General features: G+C 46.2%; 1 protein-coding gene across 4 annotated transcripts in view, besides 2 other annotated features; it reads right to left on the reverse strand.

Annotated features, from left to right (window-relative positions):
• LOC124902693 (uncharacterized) overlaps nucleotides 1-11,664 on the reverse strand; it is a 44,799-nt gene extending 33,135 nt beyond the window's left edge. Inside the window, exons 1-4 of one of the 4 annotated variants that reach the window (XM_047427977.1) lie at nucleotides 9,163-11,664; nucleotides 4,161-4,474; nucleotides 2,388-2,513; nucleotides 887-1,131 (exon numbers count right to left, since the gene is read on the reverse strand). In XM_047427977.1, coding sequence (XP_047283933.1) covers nucleotides 9,760-11,376 — 1,617 coding nt within the window. In that variant the 5' untranslated portion in view covers nucleotides 11,377-11,664 and the 3' untranslated portion in view covers nucleotides 887-1,131; nucleotides 2,388-2,513; nucleotides 4,161-4,474; nucleotides 9,163-9,759. Of the gene's footprint in view, nucleotides 1-886; nucleotides 2,514-4,140; nucleotides 4,475-4,860; nucleotides 4,988-9,162 lie in introns of those variants that run through there. The other 3 variants (XM_047427980.1, XM_047427976.1, XM_047427979.1) reach the window with 3 other exon arrangements.
• Nucleotides 5,723-6,017: a silencer, noted in NCBI's record as "tiled region #4974; HepG2 Repressive non-DNase unmatched - State 22:ReprW". NCBI's record gives its function as "represses a minimal TATA promoter and a strong SV40 promoter by Sharpr-MPRA in HepG2 cells {active_cell/tissue: HepG2}" and the evidence as "EXISTENCE:reporter gene assay evidence [ECO:0000049][PMID:27701403]".
• Nucleotides 11,380-11,509: a silencer, noted in NCBI's record as "silent region_3558". NCBI's record gives its function as "represses an Ori minimal core promoter by ATAC-STARR-seq in GM12878 lymphoblastoid cells {active_cell/tissue: GM12878}" and the evidence as "EXISTENCE:reporter gene assay evidence [ECO:0000049][PMID:35858748]".

Here is an 11,677-nt window from a genome sequence, read left to right on the forward strand (position 1 = left end):
CATGGGCACGGAGAATTATTGTTATACTTTAAATGGAACATAATATTTAATACAGATAAATACCTGTTTGCCAGTGTGGACCTCACATTTGAACGTTATGGTACAGAAACATGTTTTCACCCTTTAATCATAAAAGTTTATTAAAATGTTCTTTTTTTTTTTGAGACCGAATTTCACTCTTGTCACCCAGGCTGGAGCACAAAGGTGCAATCTTGGCTCACTGCAACCTCCGCTTCCTGGGTTCAAGTGATTCTCCTGCCTTGGCCTCCTAAGTAGCTGGAATTACAGGCACCCGCCACCATGCCTGGCTAAGTTTTGTATTTTTAATAGAGATGGGGTTTCACCATGTTGGCCAGGCTGGTCTTGAAAAAATGTTCTGAAAGTGAAGTTTGTTTCTTTCCTTCTTTCCTTCCTTTCTTCCTTCCTTCCTTTTTTCCTTTTTTTTTTTTTCATGGTCTCGCTCTGTCACCCAGGCTGGAGCATAGTAGCACAATCTCGGCTCACTGCAACCTCCACCTCCCGGGCTCAAGTGATCCTCCCACACCAGCTTCCCGAGTAGCTGGGACTACAGGCGTGGTTCACCAGGACCCTCTAATTTTTGTATATTTTGCAGAGACGCGGTTTTGCCATTTACCTAGGCTGCTCTCAAACTCCTGGACTCGAGCAATCTGCACACCTCGGTGTCCTAAAGTGCTGGGATTATAGGTGTGAGCCACTGCACCCAGACTCTGAAACTGAATTTCTATAGAAAACTCCAAGCTTTGTAAACTGTGGTCCACACCCCCATAAACATGCACAGGTGCGCGCGTGTGCACACACACACACACACACACACAATCTTCCCCCACAGCTTCCTTATCATATGTCCAAAGTACGCAGCTCAAAATTCAAACAAATTATTTATTACAAAACAAATTTTAAAAAATCACAACGTGATTCGCATACTGGCAATAGGCTGTTACTTGCCATTTGCCAGGGTATGATTTGTATTTTGTTTTAATTTATGCTGGTTTCAGGAACTATGGCCATTTGCCTTTTTCCTGCACTACCCGTGCGCCTCCTGTGGGCACTCAGCATGGGGGGGCATGTAGTTTTTCTCACTTCCCGCAGCACGTTTTTATCTTATATTGCCTACAATTCAGAAAAGGTATTTAGCCATCAGTGGAGGCCTGGGCTTGGCGTGCATTCAATGCACAAACACAGCCTGGCTTCAAAGCCAAGCTGAGTGGCACACCTCGTGACAGAACAGCAGAAAGGCAGACCCAGGTGCCTGCGGAGGTGGCAGGGACCCCAGGCAGGCCAGTGGGGCCTGGCCAACAGGGGGGCACAGGCCCCAGCTGAAGGAAACAGAGAGAGGCAACTCCAGTTCCTATATGGGCCCAGTGTGGCCAGATCTTCTCATTTTCCAAGAAAAGCCAGAAACTCACTCTTTAATGTGAATCTCTGCATTTTAAAAAGGTACCAATTAATTCTAAACATGGTCTTAAAATATTCTTTGGGGCAAACATAACACATCTATGGCCGATGTGGCATCAGAGCCACCTAACTGTGAGCTCTCCGGAGCAGAAGATGGTTCCAGCAGGCTTCTGGCCCGAATCCGCCATTCATTCACTGCTGACTAGGGTGGTCGCTTCACCTCCCAATCACATGGCACTGAAGACCCAGCCAGCTGGTAGAGCTACCACATAGGTCCAAAACCTCCTCACACCACCACTTACTACCAACACATACTAGCTATGTCGTTTCGATTGACCACTCTGACGGGCTTCAATGCCACCTATAAAATGTGGATAGTAATACAATTGCGGTTGTGGGATTAAGTGAGATAATGTGTGTAACACGCCTAATGCAGAGTAAGCATTTCACGTCAGCTACTGCTATCCATGCGCCTGGCGCCTCATTCCTCACCATCCATTCACATTAATCAGCCAATTCTGTTAAATGGGACTTTTAATACTCTCTCAAGTCTTGTTTTTATTCCTCCTCTCTCCGCTGTAATTCATAACCTCATCCTCTCTACCCTGAACTATTTATTTATTTTGTGTGTGTGTGTGTAAGAGTGTGTGTGTGTGTGTGTGTGTGTGTGTGTTTGAGATAGGGTCTTGCTCTGTCACCCAGGCTGGAGTGCAGTGGTGTGCGATCAAGGCTCACTACAGCCTCAATCTCCCAGGCTCAAGTGATCCTCCCACCTCAGCCTCCTGAGTAGCTTCAACTATTGGCATATGCCACCATGCCCAGCTAATTTTGTTTGTTTTTGTAGAGATGGGGTCTCACTCTGTTGCTCAGGCCAGTCTGGAACTCTTGGACTCAAGCAATCCTCCTGCCTCGGCCTCTCAAAGTGTTGGCATTTCAGGCTTGAGCCACCTTGCCAGGCCTGAACTACTTACCATAATGATCTAGTAATCACATCTCCACTTTACTGAGTGCCCGCACACCATGCTCCGGTGACTCCATCTCGAAGCCGGACTTCTCTATGTGAAGCACAGATCTGATGGCATCATCTTCCCTGTCACCTACAGAACAGAGTCGCAATTCCTTAATCCTGCCTTTGAGGCTCCCTCCCCAGTCTGGCCCTAGGCTCATATCCTGCTAGTTTCTTTAAGATTCTCTCTGCTCTGGGCTGGGCATGGTGGCTTACGCCTGTAATCTCAACACTTTGGGAGGCCAAGGCTCAGGTGGATCACCTGAGGTCAGCAGTTTGAGACGAGCCTGGCCAACGTGGTGAAACCCTGTCTCCACTAAAAATACAAGAATTAGCCAGGTGTGGTGGCACATGCCTGTAATCCCAGCTACCTGGGAGGCAGAGGCAGGAGAATTGCTTGAACCTGGGAGGTGGAGGCTGCAATAAGCCGAGATTGTGCCACTACATTCCAGCCTGGGTGACAGAGTGAGACCCTGTCTCAAAAAGAAAAAAAAAAAAGGCCAAGGCCAAGAGCCCGGTTTTACACATTTTTTGCATTCCCAGAGGGCACACGATAAGTGCTCACTGTTTGCTGAATGAATTAATTGGACCAACCAAGAATGCATTTTAACCAAAAGTTAATGTTACTTGTTTTTTTGTTTGTTTTGTTTTGTTTTGTTTTTTGTTTGAGATGGAGTCTCCCTCTGTCACCCAGGCTGGAGTGCAGTGGCATGATCTCTCCTCACTGCAACCTCCACCTCCCGAGCTCTATCAATTCTCCTGCCTCAGCCTCCTTAGTAGCTGGGATTACAGGTGCGCACCACCACATCTGGCTAATTTTTGTATTTTCAGTAGAGATGGAGTTTCACCATGTTGGCCAGGCTGTTCTCAAATGCCTGACCTCCAGTGATCTGCCCGCCTCAGCCTCCCAAAGTGCTAGGATTACAGGCATGAGCCACGGCACCCAACCAAAAGTTAATGTTACTTTAACACATTCTGTTACAAGAAACAAGGCTGGGACTATACAAAGAATAAAATTATAAAAATTTTAAAAATCGTCCATGCTTGGCCGGGCGTGGTGGCTCACGCCTGTAATCCCAACACTTTGGGAGGCCAAGGCAGGCGGATCACAAGGTCAGGAGATCGAGACCATTCTGGCTAACACAGTGAAACCCCATCTCTAATGAAAAATACAAAAAATTAGCTAGGCATGGTGGTGGGCGCCTGTAGTCCCAGCTACTTGGGAGGCTGAGGCAGGAGAATGGCGTGAACCCGGGAGGAGGAGCTTGCAGTGAGCCGAGATTGTGCCACTGCACTCCAGCCTGGGTGGCAGAGCGAGACTCCGTCTCACAAAAAAAAAAAAAAAATCATCTAGGCTTGAGCCCAGGAGTTTGAGACCAGCTTGGGCAACATAGTGAGACCCCCATCTCTGTTTTATATATATATATATATATATATATATATATATATATATATATATATATATATATATATACACACACACACACACACACACACACACACACACACACACACACACACGATATATATATATTTAAAATATATATATGTTATATACATATATAAATGTATACATATACATATAATTATACATACATATATGTATATATACTTAAATATACATATATATATATATATATATATATATATATATAAAAATCACTCAGGAGCCCTGGAATGTGTGTGTTTTGGTTAATTTTAGTAGAAAAGGGTATTACCTATGCAAAGCTCTAGCTACCTAGATAACTGAAAATATCTGCACTTATGAGGTAGTTGGCATTTGTCACGGTATCTTGGTCTTCATTTTTCTTTCTGTGGCCCTGGTGAAATGCGTCTGATATCTCAGGAGAAAATGCAATCCAAAGAACGATTGTGGTTGTCTGGTTCATCAGTTGTATACTGTGCGGTGCAATCTGAGAGATTTTCACAAAGCCGAAAACTGCCCAAGTATGACCTCGTGCCTGTGTAGGCCTCTTATAAAAGAGACAATTCCCCAACTCTCAGAGAGTTTCCAGAGGAGGCTAGGAGTGATGATCTCGGGATGGCAGAGATCTAGGAAAGAAAATAAACGTCATTGTTTTTTGACATTTATATATATATACACACACAATTATTATTATTATTTTTGGAGACAGAGTCTCACTCTGTCACTAAGGTTGGAGTGCAGTGGCGCGATCTCAGCTCACTGCAACCTCCACCTCCAGGATTCAAGTGATTCTTGTGCCTCAGCCTCCCAAGTAGCTGGGATTACAGGCGTGAGCCACCACATCTGGCTAATTTTTGTATTTTTAGTAGAGACGGGGTTTCACCATGTTGGCCAGGCTGGTCTTAAACTCTTGACCTCAGGTGATCCGCCCGCCTCGGCCTCCCAAAGTGCTGAGAGTACAGGTGTGAGCTACCGCACCCCACCAACATTTATATTCTTAAATACTTGCCACTGAAGCGCTCATCCAGTAAGTATGCGCCGAATGAATGGAGGGGTTGCTGCACAGCCTCATTCCCTACCCCCATTCAGGATCCCAGGCCTTGCTTTGGCAGGTGAGGAAGCCAAGGTTCAGGGCTTGTCTGGTAGGAATAGAGGAGGCCATTCAGCAGACAGAGCGGTTTCCAGCTCAGCTCTGGAGTCAGGCTGCCTGGACTCTGTGCCTGGCTCTGGCAGTGTCTACTGGGTAGAGTCGATAGAGTAATAGTTCCTATCTCAAAGAGCTATTGGACTAAATTATAGAGAACATGTAAAGTGCTTAGCATGGTGCTGATTAAATTACCCTGATTATTACAAGAATTCAGTAAATGTTAGCTATTATAATCATTTGTCAAGAAGATCCTACCATGAGGCTTGAGCCATCTATAGCTTATCTTTACAACTCTGCCCACTCCCTATTAATATCTCCACTTTATTGTCTAACAATGGGATCAGAGTTCCTAGAAAATGAAAGAGCAAGCTATCAGCTTCTGCCCAATAAAGAAGGAGAAATAGCGGAGCTGGGGAGAAGCAAACAGATCTCATACACAGAACGCCTGGTTGTGCAACTGGCTCAGCTTAGAAATAGATCTGGACTCTCAATGGCCATGCAGAAAGGAAGAAAACAAAGGCGCACATCTTCAGGCTGCTGAGGGAAACTCTATATCCAGAAAAACCTCAAGTACAAGTATGGAACAAAGACAGTTTCAGGCTTTTGAGGTTTCAAAAAATGTGACATTCTAAGAAACAGGGTAAATTATTATAGCAATTTCTCAATAGATATTAAATAGTACTGAGACTGATGAAGTCACTGAATATGATGGGTTGATTTATTCTGCAGACACATGCTGAGTGCTACTATGGGCTGGTTACACACTGGACTAGAGAGGGTAACCAGACTGACACATATTGCTGCCCTCATAGAGCTCATTTACATCCTAGTGAGGACAGATAGATGTAAACAGCTACAGTAGGAAAGTTCTGAGTCAGAAGGTGATGAACGTGATGGAGAAAGAGAAGCCAGGGCCTCTAGCCTCAACTTCCAGGAACTGGAACTACAGAACTACAGGAACTATAGCAGACAGATGAACGAACTACGGCTGGGCGTGGTGGCTCATGCCTGTAATCCCAGCACTTTGGGAGGCTGAGGCGGGCACATCACAAGGTCAGGAGTTCGAGACCAGCCTGGCCAACATGGAGAAACCTCGTCTCTACTAATAAATATAAAAATTAGCCGGGGATGGTGGCGGGCGCCTGTAGTCCCAGCTACTGGGGAGGCTGAGGCAGGAGAATGGCATGAACCCAGAAGGTGGAGCTTGCAGTGAGCCGAGATCGCGCCACTGCACTCCAGCCTGGGCAACAGTGTGAGACTCTGTCTCAAAAAAAATAATAATAATTACCAGCAACTGATGGCTTAAAACAATAGAGGTTTATTCTCTCACAGCTCTAGAGGTCAGATGCTAAAACCAAGGTGTTGGCGGAGGCCACACTCTCTACAGAGACTCTGGGGAAGAATCCATTCTGTGCCTCTTCCAACTTCAGGCGACCATCGGCACTCCTTGACTCGTAGCTGCATAACTCCAGCCTGTGCCTGGGAGATCACACTGCCTCCTCCTCTCTGTGTGTCTGTTCTCCTTCTCTTCCTCTCTCTTACAAGGACACTTGTAATGGCATTTACGACCCACCTCTAAAGTGGGCCCTTCTCTCAAGATCTTTAACTTAATTACATCTTTTGCCATATTAAGGTAATATTCACAGGTTCCTGGGATTAGGAAGTGAATATATCTTTGGCGGACCACTTTTGTGCCTACCTTAAGGAGCAAGAAAAATGGGACAGTACTAGAGGGAAATGTAGGGTACAGAGAAGTTTTTTGTTTTTGTTTTTTAAGATGGGAAAAGTTGGCGGGGTGCAGTGGCTCATGTCGGTAATCTCAGCACTTTCGGGTAGAGGCAGGAGGATCGCTTGAGCCCAGAAGTTCAAGACCTGCCTGGGCAACATAGAGAGACCTCATCTCTACTTAAAAAAAAAAAAAAACTAGTCTCTTGTGGTGGTGTACACCTGTAGTCCCAGCTACTTGGGAGGCTGAGGAGATTGCTTCAGCCTAGAAGGTTGAGGCTGCAGTGAGCCATGATCATGCCACTGCACTCCAGCCTGAGTGACAGAGTGAGACCCTATTTCAAAAACAACAACAATGACAAAAAAAAAAAAAGTTTGGAGATGGAGTGGTAACCAACTTGGCAGAGTGGAGGCAGCTGGCACTTAAGTGCTTAAAGATAATAGAAACGAAAAGTTAACAGTTCACTCTACTTATCCCCAAAAAAGTTCAGGACATGGAGGGACCAGATAGCTCAGATGGAAGGAAAAAGGCATAGAGCTGAGAACAGAGAAATTATTTAGGAGTCTGTATATAAAGCAGTTAAGCTTACAAATCCCCTCCCCAACCTTTTTTAGCTGGGCACCAACTCCCATAGCACAGCAGAGGGTTTACTCTTTGGGGAAACTGAATCTGAGAAGCACCAACTCAGGGACACCAGGCACAGCTGAAGGTGGAGTGAGCACTGAGCTGAAAACAAGGGACTGGGTAAAAACATATGTACCAAGCGGTGGCTCCACAACCGTCTCCCCTGACCCTGCTGCTGTAACCTCTATAGCAGGGGCCATGCAGATATCCCCCAGACAGATTGGAGAATTCTCTGTAGAAACCAGACGGTCCCTTCAGTGAGATTTACAGATTCTGATATTTGGGTGTACCCAGTAAAATATCCTGCTTGCTTCAGTCGCCACAGAGTGAAGCCCATAGATCAACAAGCCCCAAATTGTGCTTCCAATTGCCTCTGCTTAATGCCTCATTCTTAAATATGGACAGCCGAAGATCAAACATTTGAGGAAAACTTCCAACAATACACACACAAAAAAAATGGAGCGGGGGGAAGCAGGGGAGGGGAACTCAGGGGAAACAATAAGAAAAGCAGAAGAAAACTTAAAAACTGGAAAAATCCTTGGAGAGCTAAGAGAACAGACTCATGAAACAAGAACAGAAATACTATATATAAAAAAAGAAGCACGGCCGGGCTCGGTGGCTCACGCCTGTAATCCCAGCACTTTGGGAGGCCAAGATGGGTGGATCACCTGAGGTCAGGAGTTCAAAACCAGCCTGACCAACATGGTGGAACCCCGTTTCTACTAAAAATACAAAAAATTAGCCGGGTGTGGTGATGCATTCCTGTAATCCCAGCTCATGCAGTGAGCACAGGAGGCTAAGTCAGGAGAATTGCTTGAACCGGGGAGGCGGAGGTTGCAGTGAGCCAAGATCACGCCATTACACTCCAGCCTGGGTGACAGAGCAAGACTCCAGACTCCATCTCAAAAAAAAAAAAAAAAGCAATCAATGAACAAGAGAGTTAAAATGTAAAATTTCAATAAGAAAGAAAGATACAGTTAATAAAGTTGAAAGTGGATCTCATGAAAATAGAGATGAGATTGGTGGTTACTGGAGGCCAGGAAGGGTGGAGGAAATAAAGACATGTTAATGAGTAGAAATGTACAGTTAGATGGAAGAAATGGGACCCAGTGTTCTATAGATCAGTAGGGTGACTGTAGTTAACAATAATCTATTGTACATTTCAAAATCACTAGAAGAGAATGATTCGAATGTTCCTGGCATAAAGAAAAGATAAATATTTAAGATGATGGATATCCCAATTGCCCTGATTTGATCTTTACACATTATATGAATGTATCAAAATATTACAGGTACCCCCAAAATACGTACATCTACTATACATCAATTGTTTTAAAGTTAATGAAATTGCCCAGAGAATACAATAAAAAGAGACGGGCAAAAGGAGAAAAAAAGATAACAGCTATAATTCAAGGTCTAACATCCTCTAGTAAGGCCAGAGAAAATGGGGTGAGGATACAGGTTGAGTTAGGGAGTGGTAGCAAACAGGTAATTTACATAGAAAAAAACACTATCTATAGAATTAAAAGAAAAGAACAAAAAGACTTATAAATAGCAATACTTGGAAGTTAGAAGATAGTGAGGGAATTAGCCAGGCATGGTGGCACATGTCTGTAATCCCAGCTACTTGGGAGGCTGAGACAGGAGAATCGCTTGAGCCTGGGAGGCAGAGGTTGCAGTGAGCCGAGATTGCGCCACTGCACACTCCAACCTGGGCAACAGAGCAAGACTGTCTCAAAAAAAAAAAAGAAAAAAGAAAAAGAAAGAAAGAAAGAAAGAAAAGAAAAGAAAAGAAAAGGAAATAATGAAGGACATACCAACAAACACAATCACCATTATGGCACGTGGCTTCTTATGTTTTTTCTCACTTCTTTCTTATCTCCTCTCTTGCTTTTGTCACTTGGGAGCCCTTCATTCTTCAGGCTCCTCTTTCAGAAATTTTGCCCACTTCAGTCTGCACCTTCTTCCACAACTCTCAAAATCTACCCTTTATCCTGCTGCAATTCTCCATCTCATAGACCCCATTTAGTGTCAGACTAAATCCTTCTAGCCCATCCTCCATCCTTTTCTCAAACATTTCCCTATGAGCTCCCAGTCACACCTTTTCTCCCAATATCCAAGTGTCCTCTGTCAACACATTACCAAGTCTTCTCTTTCTCCTCCATATGTTCCCACTTCCCTCTGAACCAGAGACTCCTCTTTGCTTCCTTTGATCCTGGCCTCCGCCTTCAGCCCCAGAAGCTCTTTTCCTCACTTCCACTCTCTTTTATTTTAGGCTCAGACTCTCTCCTTTCCTTTCTCAACTTTACCCCTTCAGTGTCAATAATGTTCTGTCTGGCTCTAATTTCTCCTCTGACTTTCAGTACTTCTCCTGTCTGCCTCTTTCCTTCTTTGGTGTCAATCCTTCATCTGCCTCATTCACTGGTACCTTCACCTATAATATCTTTTTTTTCCATAGAAACAGATTCATCAGTGATATCTTTCACTTCACTCAAGATGCCCCCCTCAACTCCCACTCCTTTCTCAGTCCCTTGTAGTTCCTCACTCCCTTTGACACTTTCAAAAGGAATTTCCATCTCATCATGAGTAAATGCCATCACTCTTTCATCGCCAGTAACTTCTACCACTTTTTCAATGTTCTTCTCATTTATGCTCCCCATTCTTGAACCCTCCAATTTCTCCCCGCTGGTCCCTAACTTCTCCTCACTAGATCTCAGCTTCTCCGCACTTGACCCCAGCTTCTCTCCACTCAACCTCAGCTTCTCTCTGCTTGATCTCAGCTTCTCTCCACTGGTTCCCAGCTTCTCTCTGCTTGATCTCAGCTTCTCTCCACTCAACCTCAGCTTCTCATCACTTGTTCCCAGCTTCTCTCCACTCAATCTCAGCTTCTCTCTGCTTGATCTTAGCTTCTCTCCACTCAACCTCAGCTTCTCTCTGCTTGATCTTAGCTTCTCTCCACTCAACCTCAGCTTCTCATCACTGGTTCCCAGCTTCTCTCCACTCAACCTCAGCTTCTCTCTGCTTGATCTCAGCTTCTCTCCACTCAACCTCAGCTTCTCTCCACTCAACCTCAGCTTCTCATCACTGGTTCCCAGCTTCTCTCCACTCAACCTCAGCTTCTCTCTGATTGATCTCAGCATCTCTCCACTCAACCTCAGCTTCTCATCACTGGTTCCCAGCTTCTCTCCACTAGTTCCCAGCTTCTCTCCACTCCATCTCAGCTTCTCTCTACTTGATCTCAAATTCTCTCCACTTGATCTCAGCTTTCTGCCACTGGACCTCAGCTTCACTCCACTGGACCCCTGCTTCTCTCCCCTGCACACCAGCTTCTCACTAGTAGACCTCAGCTTCTCTACACTTGATCTCATCTTGTCTACACTAGACCTCAACCCCTTCTCATCCTGTCCCAGTTTATATCCATTGGATCTCAAGTCCTCTCCACTGGTCCCTACCTTCTCCCCAGCAGACCTCAACCTCTCTTCAAACCCAGACCCCTTCATAGGCCCTGCTGTCATCCCTGCACTCTTAGATTTAGCCTTTATTTCGTGTTTGACCTCTTGCTTTCCCCAAATACCCCTTGGGCTGTCTTTCCCCAAATCTGCTGAAGCTTGTGATGCACTTGCTCCACGGTATAGCAGCTTCACATCCATCCTTTCCTGACTCGGGCCTGACTTCCCTTTCAAGACCGTCTTTTCCACATCTTCCAGTCTCCAGTACTCAGACTCCAGCTTCGGCTTTCGAGTGTTTCTAGTCAGGAGCTCCACTCTCTTCCCAATTACCATGAGCCCGTTCCAAGGTCCCCAGGTTTTCTCTCGCAGCATCGGCACCCCCTTGCAGCCCCGCTCCAGTGGCGACCGTTCGCGGACCCCGGCCTCGCTTGGGGCGCCCTGGCCGCGGGACTTGTGGAGCTCCCTAGTCCTCCTAGGCTGCTTACCCCGCCGCTCCCTCCCGTCCAAGAGCGGAAACCTAAACAGACCCCCCTTCTCCACAGACATTGTCCCCTGCCCTCGCCCCTGGTCCACCACCCACATCCCCACCACTGCTTCCCATTCCCTGTCCCCACCCTGCCACCCTCACCCTCTTCCCCTTCCCCTTCCCCTTCCCCACTGCCTGGTGGGCGCCAAACTGGGCGAGTGCGCACGCGCAGGCCGCACGTGGCCGTTGGAAGGAGGGGCCCGGAACGGCGGCACGGGGTTGTTGTGGGGGTCAGTCCCCCGGGGACTGGAGGGAGACGCGGCACGCGGCCTCTGCGACCCTATGAACTCTGACCCCAGCTCCCACACTGTCGCCTATCACCGGCCCACTCTCCGTGCCGCGTGTCCCTTAAAAGCT

This window comes from Homo sapiens, chromosome 11 (genome assembly GCF_000001405.40).
Source record: "Homo sapiens chromosome 11, GRCh38.p14 Primary Assembly".
Lineage (NCBI taxonomy): Eukaryota > Metazoa > Chordata > Mammalia > Primates > Hominidae > Homo > Homo sapiens.